The sequence below is a fragment of the Homo sapiens genome, chromosome 17 (genome assembly GCF_000001405.40).
Source record: "Homo sapiens chromosome 17, GRCh38.p14 Primary Assembly".
NCBI lineage: Eukaryota > Metazoa > Chordata > Mammalia > Primates > Hominidae > Homo > Homo sapiens.
The window spans coordinates 4441794-4467823 of NC_000017.11; the positions used below are offsets into that span (position 1 = coordinate 4441794).

General features: G+C 52.3%; 1 protein-coding gene across 10 annotated transcripts in view, besides 2 other annotated features; it reads left to right on the forward strand.

Annotated features, from left to right (window-relative positions):
* The window catches only part of SPNS3 (SPNS lysolipid transporter 3, sphingosine-1-phosphate (putative)), a 54265-nt gene that overhangs the window by 7854 nt on the left and 20381 nt on the right, over positions 1-26030 (forward strand). For 4 of the 10 annotated variants that reach the window (XR_934008.1, NM_182538.5, XM_011523724.1 and 1 more), the window contains exons 3-8: positions 3239-3375; positions 4255-4406; positions 5103-5169; positions 6362-6510; positions 7442-7594; positions 11223-11412. Coding sequence is in view for 9 of the 10 variants with exons in the window: in NM_182538.5 (NP_872344.3) it covers positions 3239-3375; positions 4255-4406; positions 5103-5169; positions 6362-6510; positions 7442-7594; positions 11223-11412 (848 nt within the window). In the remaining variant the exon portion in view is untranslated. Of the gene's footprint in view, positions 1-3131; positions 3376-4254; positions 4407-4450; positions 4979-5102; positions 5170-6361; positions 6511-6895; positions 7159-7441; positions 7595-11222; positions 11413-11555; positions 12794-26030 lie in introns of those variants that run through there. The other 6 variants (XM_047435588.1, XM_047435589.1, XM_011523725.1 and 3 more) reach the window with 6 other exon arrangements.
* Positions 6391-6891: an enhancer, noted in NCBI's record as "H3K4me1 hESC enhancer chr17:4351479-4351979 (GRCh37/hg19 assembly coordinates)". NCBI's record gives its function as "activates a minimal SCP1, AML or CMV promoter by ChIP-STARR-seq in naive H9 embryonic stem cells {active_cell/tissue: H9 hESC(naive)}" and the evidence as "EXISTENCE:reporter gene assay evidence [ECO:0000049][PMID:30033119]".
* Positions 8065-8565: an enhancer, noted in NCBI's record as "H3K4me1 hESC enhancer chr17:4353153-4353653 (GRCh37/hg19 assembly coordinates)". NCBI's record gives its function as "activates a minimal SCP1, AML or CMV promoter by ChIP-STARR-seq in primed H9 embryonic stem cells {active_cell/tissue: H9 hESC(primed)}" and the evidence as "EXISTENCE:reporter gene assay evidence [ECO:0000049][PMID:30033119]".

Sequence of the window (26030 nt, forward strand, 5' to 3'; positions counted from 1 at the left end):
TGTGTTGGGGGGGGTCTCACCATGTTGGCCAGGCTGGTCTCGAACTCCTGACCTCAAGTGGTCCACCAGCCTTGACCTCCCAAAGTGTTGAGATTACAGACGTGAGCCACCACACTGGCCCTTACCATAGTATGGTTCTTACCGTAGTGGTCAAGATTATTACTACAAGTCCTGGGCCACGGAGGGAGAAGTGTGTGTGTGTGTGTGTGTGTGTGTGTGTGTGTTTGGCAGTAGGTGAAGAGAAAGGTCATCTTTGCAGAAGCAGCTCAAAAATTTCATGAAAGGACAGTGGGCTTAGAGGCCTGATGACCAGGCTGGTCTCTGGTGGCCTCAGGTGAGTCTCTTTACCTTTTCCGGTTACCGTGCTATGGCCCTAGACCCAGCCTGTTGTCTGTCCACAGGGCTGCTGAGAAGAGGAAACTGATGACTGAGAGAGAGGGTGTTGAAGAGATAGAGGGGTTGGGCTGGGCACGGTGGCTCACGCCTGTAATCCCAGCACTTTGGGAGGCTGGGTGGATCACCTGAGGTCGGGAGTTTGAGACCAGCCTGGCCAACATGGTGAAACCTCGTCTCTACTAAAAATACAAAAATTAGCCAGGTGTGGTGGCAGGTGCCTGGAATCCCAGCTACTTGGGAGGCTGAGGCAGGAGAATCACTTGAACCCAGAAGGCAGGGGTTGCAGTGAGCTGAGATCGTGCCACTGCACTCCAGACTGGGCCACAGAGCAAGACTGTCTCAAAAAAAAAACAAAAAAAGAGAAGAGGAGTGGAAAGTGAGAAGAGGCAGTGGTCAGGCTCCCTCCAGCCACCCATGGGATAGAGAAGCTGCTGGAGTGAGTTCATTAATTAATAATATTTAAAACTAACACTGACTTGGCCCTTACCACATGTCAGGCACGATTCTAAGTGCTTTAAATATCAACTTATTTAATCTTCACGACAATCCCACCAGGCAGGTTTTACTATTATGTCCATTTTACAGATGATGAAACTGAGGCTCAGAGAAGTTATGAGACTTGCTGAAGCTGGGATTTGAATCCAGGAAGTGTGCCTCCAGAGTCTGTCTTTTAACTCTGGGAGCATTCATTTCACCCACTGTGTCACAGAAATGATTTGAATTAGGAGACCTTGGGAATGAGGAGTGTCTGTTTTCCCCTTGGGAAGGGCATCTGCAGATTCACAGAGCGTCTGCAGGTTTAAGGCACTTAAAACAGCCTGCAAGTGATCCCTGCATGTGAGGAATATGAGGATATATACATATTTGTTGTTGTTTGTTTGCTTTTTGTTTTTTTTTTTGAGAGAGACTCTCGCTCTGTCACACAGGCTGGAGTGCAGTGGTGCGATCTCAGCTCACTGCAACCTCCACCTCCCAGGTTCAAGCAATTCTTCTCCCTCAGCCTCCCCAGTAGCTGGGATTACAGGCGCCCGCCACCATGCTCAGCTAACTTCTGTATTTTTAGTAGAGATGGGATTTTACCATGTTGGCCCGGCTGGTCTCGAACTCCTGACCTCGGGTGATCCACCGGCCTTGGCTTCCCAAAGTGCTGGGATTACAGGCGTGAGCCACCGCGTCCAGCTGGGAAATAGTTTTATAACTTTTGGATAAAGAAGATATGCATAAACAAGATATGAAATAACACTTGCCCCTCCAGAAGGTTAATAAATTTGACTACAAAGCTAAACACTTCCGTATGATGGTGATTGAAATTATGCAATCAGTAATAATAATAGATAACATTTATTGGACATTTACATGAAGCTATGCAGATAACTTTTATGTGCTTTATTTTACTTAATTCTCTCAGTAACCAAACAAGGGAATAGCACTGTTGATGAAAGGGGAACACGAAGAGTTAAGGAATCTACCAAAGGTCACATAGCTAGAAAGTGGTGAGCCAGGATTTAAACCCAGCCAACTTAGTCCCAGAAGTTGCGTTTCTAATTCTTAAAACAAATATAAAAGACTATGGGAACTTATTTCCAAAACATATTAACAAACAACAGCCCAATAGAAAAATGGACAGTGGGCCGGGCACAGTGGCCCACGCCTGTAACCCCAGCACTTTAGGAGGCCGAGGTGGGCGGATCCCTTGAGCCCAGGAGTTCGAGACCAGCCTGCACAAGATGGTGAAACCCCGTCTGTGCAAAAACTACAAAAATTAGCCAGGTGTGGTGGTACTTGCCTGTAGTCTCAACTACTCTGGAGGCTGAGATGGGAGGATGGCTTGAGGCCAGGAGGCAGAGGCTGCAGGGAGCTGAGATTGAACCACTGCACTCCAGCCTGGGTGACAGAGCGAGACTTTGTCTCAAAAAGTAAAATAAAAGTATAAATGCAGCTGTGTCCAGGGAACATTTTACCTATGTAGGAAAACCAACTTTTTCCTGGCTTCCTGGAATCATCACTAGTTCACAGTCAATATGCTTATTCTTTTTTTTTTTTGAGACCAAGTCTTGCTCTGTCGCCCAGGCTGGAGTGCAGTGGCGTGATCCCGGCTCACTGCAACCTCCGCCTCCCAGGTTCAAACGATTCTTGTGCCTCATCCTCTCGAGTAGCTGGGAGTACAGATGCCCACCATCACACCTGGCTAATTTTTTTGTATTTTTTTTTTTAGTAGAGATGGGGTTTCACTATGTTGCCCAGGCTGGTCTTAAACTCCTGAGCTCAGGCAATCTGCCCGCCTCAGCCTCCCAAAGTGCTGGGATTACAGGCGTGAGCCACCGCGCCCGGCCCAGTGTGCTCATTCTAAAGCGTCCTCATCTGCTGCTCAGAGTAGGCCCAGGCTGACTTCCCTCTTTCCCTGCTCCCCGTTGCCCCAGTAGGTGCATGAATGAAAAATCAGACCTGTCCCCATATCCAGGCTCACGGGGGTCATGTGTGTTTGTAAAGCCGGGAAACTGGCATCTGCTCCATGCCTGACGCTCCGCATTCAGTTCCCATCTCACCTTCACCATCCTGGGAGAGGATGGTGACCTCTCCAGTGTTGGGGTGACACTCAGAGCAAGCGGCAGAGCTGGGCTTTGGGTTTGGGGCCAGATTGAGGCCTCCACACTCTGGGCTGCGGCTGCATGTTGGCCACGCACTGTGAGGTTCACCTTATCTTTTCTTCCTCATACCCTGGGCCCACTGCCAAGATGCCAGCTTGTGGCATCTGAGTCAGGCTCCTTCCCTGGGCCTGCTGGGCCATCTGCCCTGCCACGGTCGTGGGGGGATCCAGGCTGCCCCTGTGTGTCTCCTTCAGTCTTCGTTAGCTGCCTGCTGCTGTCTGCACCTGTGTTTGGCTACCTGGGCGACCGACATAGCCGCAAGGCTACCATGAGCTTCGGTATCTTGCTGTGGTCAGGAGCTGGCCTCTCTAGCTCCTTCATCTCCCCCCGGGTACGTGTCCATGCCCCTGTCCAGGCCCCTGAGGCCCCTTCCCCACCTGCTTCCTCCCTGATTCAGCCCCGTCAGAGCTGCGTGGGGACAATTCTGCTCCATTCCTGGCTGTGACTGGATCAGGGATTGCACTGAGGGCTGGGAGAGAAGGTGAGAGCACAGTCTCCAGTCTCCAGCCTGAGTCTGCACAGGGCAGAGCTGGTGGACTTTTTTTTTTTTTTTTTGAGACAGAATTTCGCTCTTGTTGCCCAGGCTGGAGTGCAATGGCGTGATCTCGACTCACTGCAAACTCTGCCTCCCGAGTTCAAGCAATTCTCCTGTCTCAGCCTCCAGAGTAGCTGGGATACCAGGCGCGTGCCACCACGCCCAGCTAATTTTTGTATTTTTTAGTAGAGACAGGGTTTCACCATGTGGGCCAGGCTGGTCTCGAACTCCCAGCCTCAGGTGATCCACCCACCTCGGCCTCCTAAAGTGCTGGGATTACAGGCGTGAGCCACCATGCCTGGCCAAGCCAGTGGACTTTCTTAACAGGAGGCCCCCTCTCTCCTACCTCTCACTGCCGCACCAGCTTCATTTCTGCCCGACTCTGCTGGGGGTGGGGCTGGGGGTAACAGCTGCTGTCTTGGGGAACTGGCCTGGTTAGCAATGGTGGGACCCAGGAAAAGGGCTCCCCTGGGCAGGGGGGCAGGTGGTGGCTGCAGGGGACACACGTTTGACTTTGGGAACCTGGAGTGGAGAGGTGTCTGTAGCCCCGATCCCCTCTCCCTACTCTGGGGTCCTGTGTCATGAGGTCCCCTTGGCTCCTCCGACAAACCCTCGGGTCCCTGGCCCTATGGGTGATTTCTGGAACTCACCGTGGTCTTGTGCCTGCTCGCCCAGTATTCTTGGCTCTTCTTCCTGTCCCGGGGCATCGTGGGCACTGGCTCGGCCAGCTACTCCACCATCGCGCCCACCGTCCTGGGCGACCTCTTCGTGAGGGACCAGCGCACCCGCGTGCTGGCTGTCTTCTACATCTTTATCCCCGTTGGAAGGTTGGTATCACCCGTGGGTCTACTTCCCCAGGTGGTAAACTGAGGCCCAAAGGAGTCAGAACAGGGGCTGGACCTGGGTAGGAGAGGTCAAACCAGGAGGGCTGGGATTTGAGTCCCAATGCTACCCCTCCCTCACCATGTGAGTCTACCTCTCCTAGCCTCAGTTTCCTCATCTGTAAACGGGGGCAGTGACACCAGCTGATGGGCTTGGGGAGGAATAGAGGTGATGAGGATGTGCCGTATAGATTCACACACTCGGCAGTGTGGCCCACCCAGGGAAGGGCCGGCTATGGGAGGTAAGGTGAGGAAGCGTGTTAGGGCCAGGCCCTGCACCCCACAACAGGCTAGGCCAGAGCAGGATTTGCAATCAGGACCCTGGCCTCTGACCCAGGTTTCCTGAACTTGCCTGACTCAAGCAGGGCCCAGCCTTGGGCAGGAGGGTGTAGGGTATGTGTTTCCATAGGTGGAGAGAGTGGCGCTGGGGGTGGGCCAGGAGCCAGAGGTCACTGGTGACCTGACCGAGGGCAGTGGACATCTGGGCCTCACGTGGCTTACTTTCCTCAGTGAAACAGGTCTGAGCCTGCAGAGAGCCAGCTCCCTGGGGCGTGGGGGGGGCACCCTGGGTCAGGCTGGTGGTGGGGTCTGCCTTCCGCCTCCCTCCCCTCACAGCCCATCGCCCCTGCCCCTTTGTTGCAGTGGTCTGGGCTACGTGCTGGGGTCGGCTGTGACGATGCTGACTGGGAACTGGCGCTGGGCCCTCCGAGTGAGTCCAGCTTCCTTTTCTTCCCTCTGCTTTCCCTCTGGACCGGCAGGGACTTTCCAGCCTTGGGTGACCTTAGCCACTTGGCGTAGCACCCGGCGCCATTAGGGGGACGGGGGGTGGTGGTCAGGCATCGGCAGCTTTGGACATGTGGGGCCTCATAGGGAGCATGGGGTGTGGAAGTGGTGGCCGTGGGCTCAAAAGCTGGCTGCTTAGTTTACCAGCTGTGTGATCTCAAGCAGATCACCTTCTTCTTCAGAGCCTCAGTTTGCCTGTCGGTAAAGCGGGGGTACTAAATGCTACCTAAGGCATCTTGAGGATCAGTGAGATGAGAGATGGAAGTTCCAAGCCGCAGGGTCAGGGTGTAGAGTAGGCCCTTGAGGACTGGCAGCTAGGCTTGCTCAGCAGTTCAGCAGAATGCTCAAGAAGATGCCGGGCAGGCCCCGCTGGGGCTCCAGCCCTTGTGTTTCCAACGTGGGCATGGAGAGGGACCATTCTGAAGAGGAAGGAACTCCATAGTGGAGGGTGCTGAGCTCAGCCCTGGGAGTGCAGCTTGGTGGGAATGCAGGCTGCGCGCAGACCACTGTGGAGCCAGCCCAGTGCCGGGGAGCTGGCGTGTGAAGTGCTGAAGCCAGATTTGGAATTTTGGGGGTGGGGTGGGCTTCAAGGAGGCAGGTCTGACCTGGCTTGAATAAACCTTCTCATGGTCTCAGCTGTTTGAAGGCTGCCCCAAGGTGGGTAGTGAGATCCCCGTCCTTGGGGTTTGAGCAGAGGGGCCGCTAGGAGAGGATGCCAGGGCAGGACTGTGTGGCAGATGGAGGCCTGGGCCAGGGAAAGATCAGCTCTAGGACAGCAAGTACTCAGGAGGCAGGGCCAGTGTAGCGAGGGTCCCTGTTCTCAACCGTCTCAGGCCCACTGACCTCAAAAGACTGGTGTCTGTACTGGAAAGACGGGAATTACATGAAGTCCCAAAGAGTCTCCACTCCCTGGAAAGGCTGCAGTGGTGAGGGCTGAGAAACAGTGGTACATCCTGCTCTGTGGATACCAGCATCCAGGAATCAGGTCACCCCCACTACCCCCAGGGCTTGGAAACCAGAGGTCAGCCACTGGCTGATACTGTGGCCAGTTGCCCCCGGGGGTCCCTTGGGCTGTGATAATATGCGGCCCTGAGCTTCCTGGGCCCTCCTGTCCCCAGGTCATGCCCTGCCTGGAGGCCGTGGCCTTGATCCTGCTTATCCTGCTGGTTCCAGACCCACCCCGGGGAGCTGCCGAGACACAGGGGGAGGGGGCCGTGGGAGGCTTCAGGAGCAGCTGGTGTGAGGACGTCAGATACCTGGGGAAAAAGTGAGTATCCCTGCTACCCCCTGCAAGGCACAGAAAAGCCCGTTTGTCTGCCCCAGCATCATTGACCCCCTCTCTCCACCTCCAGGGAGCCCTCCCTGGTTGTCCCAGTGTTCACAGCCCTCCTCTTCCTCTGAGATCGCACTTACCAACTGAAGTGCCTCTCCCTCCCTTAGGGCTCAGCCTCCATCACCTTGCCATGTGACAGAAATATGGACAGAGTGGGAGGGAGATGGCGTGAGCCCCAGCCTTCCCTCTGCCCTGCCCATAAGTGGCTCCAGCACTCAGAGCCTCAACGTCCTTTGTATTCAATGGATGGAATTCTCCAGCCTTGCCCCCTTCTCCGGGTTGCTGGGAGGATGCTGGGAATTCATCACTCACCTCTCCAAGCCTCATGGCGTGCATGATCCTCTGTGCCAGCCATGCTGGGGGAGGCAGGCAGGAGTCAATTGCTGGTCCCAGGCCTCATGATTCACTGCAAGGCAGGGCATGGACAGGATTCAATTCTGTTACTGAGCTGTGAAACTGGTCGGGAGGACTCAGAGGAAGACAGGGCAGGCAGGGACAGCTTCCTGGAGAATGTGATGCTGGATGGGGGCCTCCCAGGATGGGGAGATTTGGTCCTGCAGAGAGGAGGGAGGAGGAGGCAAGGTGTGTGAGTTGGGGGGGTCTCAGAAATGTTGGGGAGGCTGGAGCTCAGGGTGCTGCCAGGAAGGATCTGGAGGCTGGAGCTTGGGGTAACCTGAGTGTCTTCTTCTTCGGAGCCTCAGTTTGCCTATCTGTAAAGAGGGGGTAGCAAATGCTACCTATGGAATCTTGAAGGTAATGAGACAAGATGGGAAAGTTCCTAGACTGCCCAGGAGTGGGGAGGAGTGGACAGGCCCCTTCAGCCCCAGCCCTCTCCCAACTCCAGCTGGGGCACCTCGTCTTGCAGCTGGAGTTTCGTGTGGTCGACCCTCGGAGTGACCGCCATGGCCTTTGTGACTGGAGCCCTGGGGTTCTGGGCCCCCAAGTTTCTGCTCGAGGCACGCGTGGTTCACGGGCTGCAGCCTCCCTGCTTCCAGGAGCCGTGCAGCAACCCCGACAGGTGAGGGCATCCGGGGGCCCTGGGCACCTGGCCCGGCTCGGGGGCTCTTGCTGAGGAAGTTCTGAGGTTCTGAGCTCCAAAATTCAGTTTCTTGGGGTGGGGCATTTGGTGCTGTGTGAAGACAGTGGAGCTCAGGACCCAGATGGCAGCAGGAGGCCTGGCTCTGGCTCTGGCTGAGCCTCTGCCACTCTGGGTGGCCATGGCCAACTCTCTTGTCCTCTCTGGGCTGAATTCCCCATATCTCCACTCTTGGGGCTGCTGTGGGCTCCAGAAGGCACTGGTTGGAAATGGGGGTGAGGCTTCTGTGGGGCTGTGGGATGAGAGGAGCCTTAGGCAGCCACCCTTTAGAGGGGCCTGTAGCGTCTTCTGTGAGGGCATCCCATTTTACAGATGGCAAACTGGGGCCTGGGAGGCCTTGTTACTTCGCTGGTTTTGGGATTTCACGTGTGTGGGAAGGCTGCCGGGAGGGGAGGCGCGGGCACTCTGCCCTCAGGGCACGCCCTCTCCCGCTTCCTGCCTGGCTGTCTGCTGCCCGGCTGGGCTCCACTTCTGTTCCTATCGCCTTTGACCCTGTTCTCCAAGAGCTCCAGTGACCACTTGATGCTGAGTCAAGGACATCCTTCAATCCTCCCTTCCTTCTCTCCTCCTCCTCCTGGAACCCTTCACCCCGGCCTCCTCCCTGCCTCCAGGGGCTGCTCTCCAGCCTCCTTGCAGTCCCCTCCTCCTCTCTGACCCTGTCCTGGTGGGTCCTGGGGGCTCCTGGGGATGCTATCTTCTTCCCTGGAGCTCCATCCTCCCCCAGGGTTTTGGCGACACTCGTCCTCTGCTGACTGCACCCACGCCTACCTTCTCCTTCCCTCCTCCTCCTCCTTCCTCCTCTTTTCTCTCTTCTCCTCTCTTCTCTTCTCTCCTTCCTTCTCTCTTTCTTTCTTTCTCCCTCCCTCCCTCTCCCTCTCCCTCTCCCCTCCTCTCTCTCTCTCTCCCTACCCCTCCCTCCCTCCTTCCCTCCCTCCCTTCCTTACTTCTCTTCTTTTCTTTCTTTTTTGAGTCAAGGTCTCACTCTGTCACCAGGCTGGAGTGCAGTGGTACAAACACAGTTCGCTGCAGCCTCGACCTCCCAGGCTTAAGCAATCCTCCCACCTCAGCCTCCCAAGTAGCTGGGACCACAGGCACACGCCACCATGCCTGGCTATTTTTATTTTATTTTATTTTATTTATTTTTTTTTGAGACAGAGTTTCACTCTCGTTGCCCAGGCTGGAGTGCAGTGGCACAATCTTGGCTGACTGCAGTTTCCACCTCCCAGGTTCAAGTGATTCTCCTACCTCAGCCTCCCGAGTAGCTAAGATTACAGGCATGTGCTACCATGCCCAGCTATTTTTTTTTTTTTTTTTGTATTTTTAGTAGAGATGGGGTTTCACCATGTTGGGCAGGCTGGTCTCGGACTCCTGACCTCGAATGACTGGCCCGCCTCAGCCTCCCGAAGTGCTGGAATTACAGGCGTGAGCCACCGTGCCCGGCCGAACTTACAGATCCTTAAGGGCTCTCTTGGCTGTAAGAGTCTGTGATGCTGGGAGGGCCCTGTGTGGATGGAGGGAACATGAAGGGCTTGGTAGCTGGGGCATGTCCTCTGGCTGCCCCTCCTGCTTAGGGGCTGGCGGGGGTGCATTTTCAGGCAGCCTGTCTAAATAATCAATCCTAAGTCTCATGAATATCTCGAGAACCTGCCAAGGTCAGCCCAGACCAGGACTCAGAGGCAGCTAGCATACATCCGGGATTTGGGTCATTTGACTGGGCTGAGCCAGACCTCGCACAGCTTGGAAGCCTGGGAAGGTTTAGAAAGCACTTCTTCTTCTTCTTCTTTGTTTTTTTTTTTTTTCCATTTGAGACAGAGTCTTGCTGTGTTGCTAGGCTGGAGTGCAGTAGCACGATCTCGGCTCACTGCAACCTCGGCCTCCCGGGTTCAAGCGATTCTCCTGCCTCAGCCTCCCAAGTAGCTGGGACTACAGGCGCACACCACCACGCCCAGCTAATTTTTGTACTTTTGGTAGAGAATTTAGAGAATTCTCAGTCATTTGTGCAAAGTGAGGGTGGGAGAAGAGAGGGCAAGCTACATCGGTCAGCGTGGACCAGTCCCGCAGAGTCATCAGTGCTGGTCAGGAGCTTGCTCAGAGGACGACAGGGAGCTATTGAGAGGTTGGAAAGATCCTGGTTGGACTGGTGTTTTCAAGAGTTCACAGTGGGCACAGTCTCAGCGTTCCCTTTGAGCTCCTTTATTTGTTTTGTTTTGTTTTGTTTTTGAGACGGAGTCTTGCTCTCTTGCCCAGGCTGGAGTGCAGTGGTGTGATCTCAGCTCACTGCAACCTCCACCTCCCGGATTCAAGTGATTCTCCTGCCTCAACCTCCTGAGTGGGCTGGGATTACAGGTGCCCACCACTGTTCCCAGCTAATTTTTGTATTTTTTTTTTTTTTTAGTAGAGACGGGGTTTTGCTGTATCGGCCAGGCTGGTCTTGAATTCCTGACCTCAAGTGATCCACCCACCTCGGCCTCCCAAAGTGCTGGGATTACAAGCTTAAGCCACCTTGCCTGGTCCCCTTTGAGCTCCTTTAAAAGGGGGCTGGAGGTTGCACAATGGACCAGGAGGGTGAAGAAGTATATTCAAATCCTGGTCTGTAATTTACCAGCTGGGTAATCTTGGCCTTGACTTTTCTCAGCCTCACCTTGCTCACCTATCCATCTGGGAATTGTTGCCCAAGCTGGAGTGCAGTGGTATGATCATAGCTCACTGTGGCCTCGAACTTCTGAGCTCAAGCGATCCTCCCGCCTCAGCCTCCTGAGTAGCTGGGACTACAGGTGCACGCCACCAAGGCTGGATGATTTAAAAATTTTTTGTAGAGACAAAATCTTTCTGATCTGGAACTCCTCCCACCACAGATCTCCTGCCACAAAATGCACTCCTGGGGAGCCTTTGTGGAGGTTATTTTGGAGGGACAGGTCTCCACAGGAAGGATGTACAAGGGGAAGCCAAGCAGAGTAGAAGTGGCTCTAAAAGTGGGTGGGAAAGGGACGGAAGTCAGGTAGGGGCTGCCTGAGAGGGGTTCAAAGACGGGGAGTGGAAGGATGGGATTCAAGGAGGGAGGGCGTGTAGAGAGCCCAGACAAGGGCCAGGTGTATCACAGGGGCTCAGTAAATACATGTTTGCTTCCCTCCATTCCTCTTAGTACTGGGAGCTGGAAAGAGAGAAGGTTGGGGCCAGGGTGGGACCCTGGAATTCAGATTTTGAGTGGGGCAGTTTTGGGGGGTGAAAGGGTAAGGGTCAATGGAGATGAGGCAGGCTGGGACCTGGGGTGCAGGGTGATCACCCACATGGCCAGTGGGATCCCCAGGATGAGACAGGAGATGAGGCAGGAAAGGGGGTAGGGGAGAGCAGTGGGACATTGGTCCCTGGGAGTATCAGTGAGGAGGGTGGGTAAGGTTCTGGGTCAGGTCAGGGGCCCACAGCCATATTCCCTGTAGACACCAGATCATGCACTTGAGCCGAGGGGCTAGACCTGGGGCTGGGAGCAGGATAAGAGTCCCTATGCTAAGCTCACCCAGCTGACCAACCCTTCTGTGCTCTTCCCCATCAGCCTGATTTTTGGGGCACTGACCATCATGACCGGCGTCATTGGGGTCATCTTGGGGGCAGAAGCTGCGAGGAGGTACAAGAAAGTCATTCCAGGAGCTGAGCCCCTCATCTGCGCCTCCAGCCTGCTTGCCACAGCCCCCTGCCTCTACCTGGCTCTCGTCCTGGCCCCGACCACCCTGCTGGCCTCCTATGTAAGTGAGAGCCTCTATGGAGGTGGGGACAGGGTTGGGGGGCGAGGAACTCCTGTTTCCACAGGCTCATGCTGCGCCCGGCCTTTATGTACAATTATGTTGATCACTCCTTCTGAGTAGAGCTTGTTATCCCCATTTTACAGATCAGTAAAGAGAAGCTTGGCTGGACGCGGTGGCTCATGTCTGTAATCCTAGCACTTTGGGAGGTCAAGGCCGGCCTGGCCAATATGGTGAAACCCTGTCTCTACTAAAAATACAAAAAATTAGCTGGGCATGGTGGCAGGCACCTATAATCCCAGCTGCTTGGGAGGCTGAGGCAGGAGAATCGCTTGAACGCGGGAGGTGGAGGTTGCAGTGAGCTGAGATTGCGCCACTGCACTCCAGCCTGGGCAATGGAGCAAGACTCCATCTTGGGGGAAAAAAACAGAGAGAGAAGCTTACCAGGAGTTCCACAGTGAAGAAGGGGCAGAACTGGGATTTGAGCCTGAGCTTTTCTGACTGTAAAAGGTGTCCTCTGAGCATTGGGTTAATGTGTTAATTTGAGAAAATAGGACTCATTTATTGCCAGGGCATATTGTGGGCCCAAGAAGAAATAGAGCAATTCTCCCCAGGTTACAGAGGAGGGAAGCAAGGCCCAGATTGGTTATGGCCAATGTGGACGCTGCTTTAAGGGCAATAATCATGGTAATATCAAGTGTTCCAAATCCACATCCCATCACACCCCTTCATGGGCCTCACACTCTGGCTGTGCCAGCCGTGTGGGCACACACACTTCCCAGACTTTGCACGCGTCCATTTCTTCCACCAAGAACACCAGTTCCTCTTTTGTGCATCCTGAAATCCTCCTTCTGCAAGACTCAACTCAAAGTCCGCTTCCTCCAAAAGCCTTCCCCTACCACTCTATCCTCACACCAGAATTCACGTTCCCACTTGGGCTCAGCACCTGTTTGGGTCCCATGAGGCACCAAGGTTTATGGGGCCTGTCCACAGACAGGGAGCCCAAAGGGCAGGACCAGAGCCAGAGGGTCCCTGTGTGCAGCCGTGTCCCTGGCTCCCCAAAGCCCCAGCCCTGCCTGTCCCCCAACATGGGAAAGGGCTACTGCTTCTGGGAAGATGACGCCAGCCCAGCCACAAGCAGAGGGGCTAGACCTCTCCTCCTTTCCCAGCTCCATGGCCCTGGGCCCTGTGGCTGCAGACACAGATGCGCTTGCACATGTTAACCAGGTTTACTGAGCAGACTGGACTTTGGAAAAGTAAACCAGCCACAACTTTATTGTCCTCACACTAGTTTGGCTGCATCTCCTACCCATGGCCAGAGCCCATTGCTTCTCTAGTCACACACATGAACTAAACAGTCTGGTCCCACTGAAATCAAAACAACTTTAGCCCTGCTTCCAAATAAAGCTTTTTTTTTTTTTTTTTTTTTTTTGAGACAGAGTCTTGCTCTGTCGCCCAGGCTGGAGTGCAGTGGCACGATCTTGGCTCACTGCAACCAACCTCCACCTCCTGGGTTCAAGTGATTCTCCTGACTCAGTCTCCCAAGTAGCTGGGATTACAGGCACACACCACCAAGCCCGGCTAATTTTTTTGTGTATTTTTAGTAGAGACGGGGTTTCACTATGTTGGCCAGGCTGGTCTTGAACTCCTGACCTCGTGATCCACCCACCTCAGCCTCCCAAAGTGCTGAGATTACAGTCGTGAGCCACTGCACCCAGCCTTTTTTTTTGAGACTGAGTCTCACCCTGTTGCCCAGGCTGGAGTGCGGTGGCGCGATCTCAGCTCACGGTAACCTCCGCCTCCTGGGTTCAAGCGATTCTCCTGCCTTAGCCTCCCAAGTAGCTGGGATTACATGTGTGAGCCACCACGCCCAGCTAATTTTTGTATTTTTAATAGAGATGGGGTTTCGCCACATTGGCCAGGCTGGTCTCAAACTCCTGACCTCAGGCGATCCGCCTGTCTCGGCCTCCCAAAGTGCTGGGATTACAGGTGTGAGCCATCACGCCCAGCCCCAAACAAAGCTTCTATCCGGACCAGAAAACTGCCTTGGGAAGAGGCAGGGCTGTCGTCCGGTTTTGTTCTCCTTGTTCCATCTTCTACCCCAACATCCCTGACATCTCCCCTCCCCTTGCGATTCTGTCCTCTCCAGAGATGAGCAGGCAAGGAAGGATGACTGAGAACAGGCCAAGTATTGCCTGTGTCCGGAGCTGTTTCTGCTGACTGTCGGTGCCCCACATGTGGCAGATGCCCAGAGGCGGGGTGTGGGGGGTACTTTGTGGGCGTTTTGGGGTCTCTGGCCCTGGTTTTTGCTTTGCCCAATTCCTTGATGCAAGGGTTGCCTTTCCAGCCAGGCTGTCTTGCCCCGGTAGGCAATCCTGCAAGGGGCCCCCTCTCATGAGCACCGTGTCTCCCTCCACGGTGTCCATCTGAGCCCTGTAGGATGTCGGGAAGGGAGGCCTCCCCCACTGCCGCCCTCTCCCCTCCCACGACACTGCAGACTACTCCATCTGGCATCCCCACCCACAGACTTCCCTTGGGGGAGTCAGGGCCCAGGGTCCATTCTCCCCGAATGCCAGATGACATGCATCTGAGTGTCCTAAAGACGTCTTCTATGCACGCCCCTCAGGCTGTCCTGGTATAGGAGGCTCAGCATTTAGCCAGCGTCCAGTCAGGGAGAAAAGGCCAGCTTCCTTCCTGGCAAGCACTGCCCTCTGTGGGGGGGGGGTGAGTGTCACCTGAAGCCCCTCACTCAGCTTAAGAGTAGAACTCTTTATTCTTTATTTATTAACTTTTTTAGAGATGGGGGCTCTCACTATGTTGCTCAGGCTGGTCTTGAACTCCTGGGCTCCAGCAATCCTCTTGCCTCAGCCTCCTGAACAACTGGGACTACAGGCGTGCACCACCACACCAGGCTAATTTTTGTATTTTTAGTAGAGATGGGGTTTTGCCATGTTGCCCAGCCTGGTCTCGAACCCCTGTCCTCAAGTGATCTGCCCATCTCAGCCTCCCAAAGTGCTGGGATTACAGGCATGAGCCACCGCGCCTGGTCAAGAGCAGAACTCTTTCAATAAATCCTCCCCTGAGCATGACTTCCACGCAAGCAGTGGGGGGCCAAATGGGATAGCTCTGTTCTCTCGCCGAGTCCTGAAGGTGTGCTGGCACCTCTCTTGAGATGTGGGCACTGCTCATCCCTTGTTCTCAGCCTTGGGTCTCTGCAGAAATTCCTGAAGACTAGAAAGTCTTGTCATTCTCTTCTGCACGTGCTCTTATTTAGTCCTCACGACTGACACTTTTGTGGGGAAGGTTTTTTCTTTTCATATTTTATTTTATTTTATTTTTTTGAGACGGAGTCTCTCTCTATTGCCCAGGCTGGAGTACAGTGGCACGATCTAGACTCACTGCAACCTCTACCTTTCAGGTTCAAGCAATTCTCCTGCCTCAGCCTCCCCAGCAGCTGGGATTATAGGGGCATGCCACTAATTGTTGTGTTTTTTGGTTTTTGTTTTTGTGTTTTTTTTGGTTTTTTTTTTGAGACAGGGTCTCACTCTGTCGCCCAGGCTGGAGTGCAGTGGAGCGATCTCAGCTCACTGCAACCTCTGCCTCCCAGGTTCAAGTGATTCTCCTGTCTCAGCCTCCTGAGTAGCTGGGATTACAGGCCCATGCCACCACACCCAGCTAATTTTTGTATTTTTGGTAGAGATGGTGTTTCACCATTTTGACCAGGCTGGTCTCAAACTCCTGACTTCAAGTGATCTGCCTACCTCGGCCTCCCAAGGTGCTGGGATTACAGGCATGATCCACCACGCCCAGCCTGGAAGGTTTTTTCTTATGCCATTTGACAGGTTGGAAAACTGAAGCCCACAGATAGAATCAGGTAAATAGTGGGACAGACAAAACTCCAACACCTGGCTGGGTGCAGTGGCTGACGTCTGGAATCCCAGTATTTTGGGAGGCCAAAGTGAGAGGATCACTTGAGCTCAGGAGTTAGAGACCAGCCTGGACAATGTAGCAAGACCCTGTCTCTACAGAAAATTAAAAAATTAGTTGGACATGGTGGCACATGCCTGTAGTCCCAGCTACTGGGGAGGCTGAGGCTGGAGAATTGTTTGAGCCCCAGTGATAGAGGCTGCAGTGAGCTCTGATCATGCCACTGCACTCCAGCCTGGGTGACAGAGTAGGACCCTGTCTCAAAACAAACAAACAAACAATCAACCTCCAACTTGGCCGTGACGCCTCCAAAGTCTGTGTCCTTCATAGTGCACTGATCCAGAAACAGCGGGGCACACCCCAGGCACTAGTAAATCCCTTAATGCTTATTGACTGAGGGAGGGGACCATCACTTCTGGCTGGTGGGAGCTGATGGGGGCTGGTGGGGCCTGACCTCACAGGGAGGCTGGGGCCCAGGCAGATGGAGGCCCCATCAAAGCTGTCCCTGTACCAGCCAGCTGGGGCTGGGGGCCCCCTGCCAGCCCTGCTTCTGCCACTGTCTTGGTTGGTTCTGGGAGGTGCTCCTTGGCTGTGTTTTGGGGACACAGCTGCCCCCCCCTCACCCCCTGCACCCTGCAGCCTGGCGCATCTCTAGAGCTGGTTGTCTCATCCAGAAATGACATTGCGTCTTGGCCGCCAAAGCCAGCTGGAGAAACTCTTCTTTAGGCCTGCCCTGGGGGTTGGGGCTGAGGGGCAGAAAGGCGGGCAGGGCCAGAGTGCATCCCTCCTCTGGCGCTGGGAAGCTGCTGGGTCTGGCATGGTACCCACCGATGCTGAGCCTCTGCGGCCAGAACTCTAACCCTCAGAGGTGATGCCATCCCGCCCCCACCCCTTGGCTCTGTCTGTGCCTCCGTAGAATGCTCGGATGTTCTGACCTGAGATTCAGGCTCCAGTTCTTCCTTCCCAACAACTGTCAGTCACAAAGCCCTTGACCTCTCCCAGGCCTACCCTCCTCTCCGTCCTCTCTGCCCTTCCCTGGCTCATGCCTTGCTGTCTTTCTCCAGAACTGTTCTAGAAGCCACCTTCCTGGTCTCCGTGTCTTCCTGCTCACCCACTACAGTCTGTTCTTCTGTTCTTCACACACTGCCAGAGTGAGCTAGCTAGCTTGCTTGCTTTTTCTTTCTTTTCTTTTCTTTTCTTTCCCTCCCTCCCTCTCTCCCTTCCTCTCCCTCTCTCTCTCCCTCCCTCCCTTTCTTTCTTCTTTCTTTCTTTCTTTCCATTTTCTTTTTCTTCTTTCTTTCCTTCCTCCCTCCCTCCCTTCTTTCTTCTTTCTTTCTTTCCATTTTCTTTCTTTTCTTCTTTCTTTCTTTCTTTCTTCCCTTCCTCCCTCCCACCCGCCTTCCTTCCTTCCTTCCTTTCCTTCCTTTCTTCCTTCCCTCCTTTCTTTCTTCCTTCCCTCCTTTCTTTCTTTCTTTCTTTCTTTCTTTCTTTCTTTCTTTCTTTCTTTCTTTCTTTCTTTCCTTCCTTCTTTCTTTCTTTCTTTTCTTTCTCTTTTCCTTCCCTTCCTTCCTTCCAGACAGGGTCTCCCTGTGTTGCCCAGGCTGGTCTTGAACTCCTGGCCTCAAGTGATCCTGCCCATGCTGCCTCCCGAGTAGCTGGAATTCAGGCATGTGTCACTGTGCCTGGCTGACAGAGTGAGCTTTCTGACACCACCTCCCTTCCCTGCTCAAAAGCCTCGCATGGCTCCCTGGTGCCTGTGGAACTAGGCCCAGCCCCTTATCCCGGCATTTAAAGCCCCTCATGAACTTCTCCAATAACCTTAGGAGCCTTATTCCTCCACTGAAGTCCTGCCACGCAGGTCCCCTCTTGATTCCCTAGTCATTCCTCCCCTCTCCCTCTCTTTCCCCATCCTCACTCCCTTCTCCATGTGTCCAGAGCATTCTAGGCCTTCAAGGGCCAGCTTACCACCGTCTCTCCATGGATTCCTCCCTGGTTGCTGGGCCTGACCCTCTCTCCCTTAGTACGCCCAGTGTTGTCGTCCTGGGGTCTCAGTTACGTACGTTCTGACTCCTCTCCCAGCCCTGTCTGTGAGTTTAGCAGGGTCCAGGTCTGGTTCTAGTCTTTCTCTGCACTCCAGCTTGAAGCACAGTGTCAGGCACGTGGACAGGTGGGTGAGGTAAGTCACTGCTGGCTGAGTGAAGAGTCGAGTGACAAACTGTTTGTATTCATTTGTTTATTCAACCAATATTTATTGATTGTCAATTAAGTGGCATACTAGTTTAAATGCTGTAGATATAGGCAGCTGGGTGCGGTGCTTCATACATGTAACCCCAGCACTTTGGGAGGCCGAGGCAGGCGGATCACCTGAGGTCAGGAGTTCAAGACCAGCCTGGGCAACACGGCAAAACCCTGTCTCTACTAAAAATACAAAAAATTAGCTGGGCATGGTGGTGTGTGCCTGTGGTCTCAGCTACTGGGGAGGCTGAGGCAGGAGAATCGCTTGAACCCAGAAGGTGGAGGTTGCGGTGAGCTGAGATTGCGCCATTGCACTCCAGCCTGGGCGACAGAGCGAGACTCCATGTCTAAATAAATAAATAAATAAACCAATGCCGTAGATATAGCAGTGAATAAAACAGACAAAAATGTCTCTGTCCTGAGAGAACTTACATTCTAGTTGAGGGAGATAGATAACAAACAAGATATATAAGTATTGTGAATTTTATTGTAAAATTCAGAGTATTTCAGATAATAATAAAGGCTTAGGAGAGAAGTATTGTTGGGAAGGAAATAGGGAGAGTGTGAGTATTGGGAGGAGAGGGTAGCAATTTTTTGTAGGGTGGCCAGAGAGACCTCTCTGAGAAGGTAGTTGTTGAATAAAGACCTGTAGGGGGTGAAGTAGTGAATTATGTGGATATTCGGGGGAACAGTGTTCCAGGTAGAGGGAACAGCAACTGTGAAGGCCCTGAGTCAGGAGTGTACCCGATGGGTTTGAATAACAACAAGGCGGCTACTGTGATTAGTGCAGAGAGAGAAGTGGGAGAGGGACGTGAGGACAGAGAGATGATGGGTGCCAGATCATGTAGGATGTTGTGGGCATTGGGTGAGATGGAGTTTTGTTCTAAGAAGTGAGACATCTGGCTTTTGTCTTCCGCATCTATTGAAATTATCATGTAGTTTTGTCCTTTATTCAATTTCTACAGTTTATTACATTGACTGATATTTATATGTTTAACCAACCTTGCATTCCTGGGATATGTTTGCCATGGTCATTGTGGGTAATCATTTTTATGTATTGCTGGATTTTTTTTTTTTTTTTTTTTGAGACAGAGTCTCACTCTGTGGCCCAGGCTGGAGTGCAGTGGCGTGATCTCGGCTCACTGCAAGCTCTGCCGCCCGGGTTCACACCATTCTCCTGCCTCAGCCTCCCGAGTAGCTGGGACTACAGGCGCCTGCTACCACGCCTGGCTAATTTTTTGTATTTTTTTTTTTTTTTTAGTAGAGACGGGGTTTCACCTTGTTAGCCAGGATTGTCTCGATCTCCTGACCTTGTGATACACCTGCCTCAACCTCCGAAAGTGCTGGGATTACAGGTGTGAGCCACCGTGCCTGGCTGAATTGCTGGATTTGAGTTTGTAGTATTTTGTTGAGGATTTTTGCACGTACATTCATAAGAGATATTGGTCTGCAGTTTTCTTGTGGTGTCTTCATCTGGTTTTGGTATCAGGGTAGTGGCCTTGTAATGAGTTGGCAAGTGTTCCTTCCTCTTCTGTTTTTTGGAAGACTTCATGAAGAATTTGTTAATTTATCTTTAAACATTTGGAAGAAGTCACCAGCGAAGCCATCTGGTTCTGGGCTTCTGTTTGTGGAAAGTTTTTTGATTGCTAACTCAATATTTACTTGTTATAGGTCAATTCAAATTTTCTATTTCTTCTTGAGTTGTTTCAGTAGTTTGTATCTTTTTAGGAATTTGTACATTTATTCTAGGTTAATCTAATTTGTTGGCACACAATAGTTTATATTATATAACAGTTCCTTCTAATTCTTTTCATTTCTATAAGGTGAGCAGTAATGTCCCCCCTTTCATTCCTAATTTTAGTAATTTGAGTCTTTTTTTCTTGGTCAGTTTATCTAAAGGTTTGTCTATCTTGCTGATTTTTTCAAAGAACCAACTTTTGGTTTCATCAATTTTTCTCAATTTTTTTCTATTATTTGCTTTCTTTTCTTTTCTTTTCTTTTTTTTTTTTTTTTTTTTTTTTTTGAGACAGGGTCTTGCTTTGTTTCCCAGGCTTGAGCTCCTGGCTTCAAGCAATCCTCCTGCCTCAGCCTCCCCAGGCATTAGGATTATAGGAGTGAGCCACCCTATCTGGCTGGCTTGTGCTGAGTAGAATCACTCTGGCTACTCTGTTGAGAATAGACCTGGGGGCAAGGGCAGAAGCAGAGAGGAGTGAGGAGGCTGTTGTTAGAATGCAGGTGAGATGATGCGGTTTGAACCAGAGTGGCAACAATGGCGATTGTGAGAGGCAGTTGGATTACATATGTATTTTGAAGGTAGAGCTATCAGAATTTCCTCATAAATTCCAGGAGGGGTATGAAAGAAGAGTCAGAGGTGAGTTCCAGGTATTGGCATGAGCAGCTGGAACCGGGGAGGGCCCATTAATTGAGGCAGGAAAGTGAGCAGGAGCAGCAAGTGTTTTGGGGAAGGTCAACAGCTTGGTTTTATACATTCTGAGTTTGTCGGGGGAGGTTGATATCCAAGTGGAGGTGTTAGTAGACAGTTGGATACAGGAGTCGGAAGTCCAGGGGATATGGAATCATCCCTAAAACTTCAAAGGGTGAAAACATTTTTGGGGAGCAAAAGGAGTCAGCATTAGGATGGGTGTCCAGAGGGTGCTGAGGAATTGGCTTCTGCTGGGATTCAAAATATGATGTCACCTTACTTTCTTCTACTCATCCATCCACCCATTCACCAATCCATCCATCCATCCATCCATCCATCCATCCATCCATCCATCCATCCATCCATCCATCCATCCATCCATCCATCCATCCATCCATCCATCCATCCATCCATCCATCCATCCATCCATCCATCCATCCATCCATCCATCCATCCATCCATCCATCCATCCATCCATCCATCCATCCATCCATCCATCCATCCATCCATCCATCCATCCATCCATCCATCCATCCATCCATCCATCCATCCATCCATCCATCCATCCATCCATCCATCCATCCATCCATCCATCCATCCATCCATCCATCCATCCATCCATCCATCCATCCATCCATCCATCCATCCATCCATCCATCCATCCATCCATCCATCCATCCATCCATCCATCCATCCATCCATCCATCCATCCATCCATCCATCCATCCATCCATCCATCCATCCATCCATCCATCCATCCATCCATCCATCCATCCATCCATCCATCCATCCATCCATCCATCCATCCATCCATCCATCCATCCATCCATCCATCCATCCATCCACCAATCCATCCACCCACCCATCCACCAATCCATCCATCCATCCACCCTCCCACCCACCCACCAATCCATCCATCCATCCATCCATCCACCCACCCACCCATCCACCAATCCATCCATCCACCAATCCATCCATCCATCCATCCATCCATCCATCCATCCATCCATCCATCCACCAATCTATCCATCCATCCATCCATCCATCCATTCAACCACGCACCCACCCACCCACCCACCCACCAATCCATCCATCCATCCATCCATCCCTTCACTTCTCAGATGGCAGGAACCAAAGTCCTTCCTGCATGATTTCTGCTGTTGAAGGAGTAAGTCCTGGGGAGACAGGCTCCAAACTCTTCTTGGGAAGGGCCCAAGAAGGGTATAGACAGGCTCCAAACTCTTCTTGGGTGGGCATGTGTGCTGGTGTGTGCATGCATCTGAGTGTGTATATGTTCATTCTTGTGTGTAGACATTAAAATGAATATACTGGCCGGGTGCAGTGGCTTACGCCTGTAATCCCAACACTTTGGGAGGCAAGGTGGGTGGATCACTTGAGGTCAGGAGTTCAAGACCAGCCTGGCCAACATGGTGAAACCCTGTCTCTACTGGAAATACAGAAATTAGCCAGGCATGGTGGTGGCACCTGTAATCCCAGCTACTCAGGAGGCTGAGGCAGGAGAATCACTTGAGCTCAGGAGGTGGAGGTTGCAGTGAGCCGAGATTGCGCCACTGCACTCTAGCCTGGGCAACAAAGCAAGACTCTGTCTCAAAAAAAAAAAAAAACAAAACAAAACAAAAAACCAAACCTGAATATACTAGCCAGGCATGATGACTCATGCCTGTAATCCCAGCACTTTGGGAGGTCAAGGTGGGCGAATCACTTGAGGTCATGAGTTCGAGACCAGCCTGGCCAACATGCTCTCTCCCATGCCCCTGTCCCCACTAAAAATATATTAAAAATTTAGCTGGGCGTGGCGGCATGCGCCTTTAATCCCAGCTACTTTGGAGGCTGAGGTAGGAGAGTTGCTTGAACCCGGGAGGTGGAGGTTGCAGTGAGCCGAAATCGTGCCACTGCACTCCAGCCGGGCAACAGAGTGAGACTCCATCTCGAAAAAAAAAAAAAAAGAATATACTTGTACATACAATATACATTTAGCATGAACATGCTAAATGTATATTGTATGTACAAATATATCTATTTTAATTTGTATGTATGTGCATGGTGTGTATGAGTGTGTCGATGTGTGCTGTTTTGTACACTTATCTGTGCACGAGCATGCACACCCAACTCAGGACATGCAGATAACTGCGTGGGACGTGCCTGTGTGCACATGTGGACCTGCAGCTAAGTATAGCTTTTCTCCTGCTACTTTTGTGCCTGTAACTGCATTGTGTGGGCAGGATGATTTTTGGTGGCACTGTGTGTCTGTTCCCAGATTTCCTGAAGTAGGGGCCAAATCATGCTGCTTGTTTCATGGAAATGAGCTTTTCTGAGAATATAAAGTCTGGTCTGGGGCCTTCCCTGGGGGAGCCCATGCCCTGTGGCCACGTACAGAAACAGAGGCTTCCATCTCTTCCATCTTTCCAGTCCTCTTGGCAAGGGAAGTGGACTTCTCGGCTGTTAATTAGGGTCCAGACACGCACACAGCAGGTCTTGGCTTATACCACCTTCGTTGGCCTTCTTCCCAGAGCTGCTGCCCTTCAGAAGAGAATAGGTTTGTGCTCAGAGGAGGGACTGCACCCAAAGCAGGGCCTCCACTGTCACTGACCTGATGGCTGGAGGATGTGGCTGAACGTCGGCTATCCCCCCTTAGGTGGGCTTTGTGGTCAAGGTGGAGGGGCAGGAGTGGGACATGGGAGGGAGCATGCTGTGAGCTGTCTGAAAGACCTGGCCATCATTCCTTCTTTCCTTACCAGTTGTGTGACTTGTGTGACCTAGGGCAAGATCTTGACCTTGCTGAGCCTCAATTTTCTTAGCAAGAAAATGGGAGTGCTACTCTTTACCTCTCGGCTTCATTAAAGAGATAAGCAAACTTTTGAGCCTGTTCTTTTTTATTTTTTTATTTTTTGAGACAGAGTTTTGCTCTTGTTGAGCAGGCTGGAGTGCAGTGGCGCAATCTCGGCTCACTGCAACCTCCGCCTCCCAGGTTCAAGCGATTCTCCTGTCTCAACCTCCTGAGTAGCGGGATTACAGGCATCCACCACTATGCCCGGCTGACTTTTGGTATTTTTAGTAGAGATGGGGTTTCACCATGTTGGCCAGGCTGGTCTCCAACTCCTGACCTCAGGTGATCCACCCGCCTCGGCCTCCCAGAGTGCTGGGATTACAGGCATGAGCCACCACTCCCGGCTGAGCCTGTTCTAATTACTATGCATATGTAACAAAATTTAATGGCTTAAAACAACAAGAACATTTATTTTGCTCACAAATTTGCAGTTTGGACCAGGCTTGAGAGCAAGAGGGGATGACATCTCTTTTCCACTTGGTGTTAGCTAGGCTGGATAAGGGTGAGGGGCTGGATCATCAAAGGGGTGGGGCCTGCCTGGCAGTCGATTCAGCTGTTGACTGAGACCTTAGCATTGGCTGGTACACCTGTCTGTGGCCTCTCCGTGTGGTCTGTGCTTCCTCACAGCATGGTGGCCGGGTTAAACAAGGACTAATGTTCTGAGATAGCGGGCCAGGTAGAACTGTGTTGCCTTTTATGACCTACCCTTGAAAGTTACCATGAATGTAACTTGCATTCTCTGCATTCTATTTTTTTTTTTACCTGAGCACAACTTTCTGCTCATATTAGTGGGGCAAAGAAATGGACTCTAGGCCATGCGCAGTGGCTCATGCTTGTGATCCCAGCACTTTGGGAGGCCGAGGCGGGAGGATTACCTGAGATGAGGAGTTCAAGACCAGCTTAGCCAACGTGGCAAAACCCCGAGGCTACAAAAATACAAAAATTAGCCTGGCATGATGGCAGGTGCCTGTAATCCCAGCTACTTGGAAGGCTGATGGGGGAGAATCACTTGAACACAGGAGGCGGAGGTTATAGGGAGGTGGGATCGCCACCAATGTGCTCCAGCCTGGGTGAGGGAGTGAGACTCCATTTCAGAAAAAAAAGAAATGGACTCTATCTTTTGATGAGAGTATCAGTGATCTGAAAGAACTTGTGGAACTGGAAATATTGCAGTGACTGTCTTTGGAAAATGCAATCTCCCATCATGCCCCAGGGTTTCCTTCTCTTCTGTCCCCTGGGCCCTGCCGACATCTGACATTGCATGGGAAAGTGTTTTGTGTGCACAGTGGCGAAGCCTACCAGGGTGGGTCTCTAGTTCCACGCTGCTCTTTTGGTCTCACGGTGAGAAACCCGGACTCGAGTGCTCACCCTCACACCCCTGCTTGGCCTCATGGGCTGAGGGAGCAGGTGTGCTTGAGATCTCAAAGGGCCAAGCCTATGGCCATGGCCAGGTGGCTGAGATGCAGGTCTCCACCAGGAAAAGCAGCAATGTCCACTCACTTATGAAATCTTTCCCCAGCGCCTCCTCTTTCCCAGACGCTGTTCCAGGCACTGGAGTACAGCATGAACAAAGCAGGCAAAAGTATGTGTGTGTAATACAATAAACATGGAAAATCAACACCATAGGCCAGGCACGGTAGCTCATGCCTGTAATCCCAGCACTTCGGAAGGCCGAGGTAGGCAGATCATGAGGTCAGGGGTTTGAGACCAGCCTGGCCAACATGGTGAAACCCTGCCTCTACTAAAAATACAAAACTTAGCCGGGCATGGTGGCACGTGCCTGTAATCCCACCTATTTGGGAGGCTGAGGCAGGAGAATCGCTTGAGCCCAGGAGGCGGAGGTTGCAGTGAGCTGAGATCGCGCCTTTGCACTCTAGCCTGGGTGACAGAACGAGACTCTGTCTCAAAAAAAAAAAAAAAAAAATGGCCAGGCACAGTGGCTCACACCTGTAACCCCAGCATTTTGGGAGGCCGAGGCAGGCAGATCACTTGAGGTCAGGAGTTCGAAACCAGCCTGGCCAACATGGTGAAACCCTGCCTCTACTAAACATACAAAAATTAGCTGGGCATGGTGGTGGTGGGCACCTGTAATCCCAGATACTTGGGAGGCTGAGGCAGGAGAATCGCTGGAACATGGGAGGCGGAGGTTGCAGTGAGCCGAGATCGCACCATTGCACTCCAGCCTGGTGACAGAGCAAGACTGCCTCTCAATAAATAAACAAACAAACACCATAGTATGTTAGATGGGGATGAGTTCTCTGGAGAGCAACAGCAGGGAAAGGGGACAAAGAGAGCGACAGGGGCAATGCACAGGGCCAGGGGAGGCCTTGTTGAGACGGAGACACTCCAGAAGCAGGTGTGGGGTGGAGCCATGTGGGTGGGGGTGGAGCGGGGAAGCGCAGTCCATGCGGAGGGCAGCCTGTGCGGAGGCCCTGAGGGAGAATGCATGGCTGGTGTGTTGGGGAGATGTGGCTGGAATGGGGTCAGCCAGGGAGCAGCAGAGGCGATGAAGTCAGAGGTCACGGTGATGGGGGAGTGAGGGTGCGGATTATGGAGGGTCTTGTACATAGATTCACTCTGGCTTCCCATGTCACTGACATTGGAAGCCACCAGACTGTCCAGCGCAGAGGTGAGAGGATCTGACTTAGGGGTTGTATCCGGAATCTACTGCTGCAAAAAAAAAATCACCCCAAAACTTCGTGGCTTAAAACAATGCCCAATTATTTCTGATTCTGTGGCCTGGCTGGATGGTTCCTCTGCTGGTTTGCCTGTGTCCGCTCATGTGGCTGCTTTCATCTGGATGATTACTGCACTGGAATGTCCACGCTGACCTTACTCACCTCCGGCTGTCCCCTGGGTCCCCTTCATCCTTCTCCGTGTGGCCGTTCACCCTCCCCTAGGCTAGACCAGCTTCCTTATATGACCATCTCAGGGCAATGCTCTAAGATAGCAAAAGTGGAAGTTGCAAAGTCTGTTAAGCACCAGGCCAGGAACTTGAAAAGCATCACTTCCACCTGATTTATTTAATTTAATTAAATTAATTTATTTATTTATGACAGAATCTCGCTCTGTCGCCCACGCTGGAGTGCGGTGTGATCTCGGCTCACTGCAACCTCTGCCTGCTGAATTCAAGTGATTCTTCTGCCTCAGCCTCCAGAGTAGCTGGGATTACAGGCACCTGCCACCATG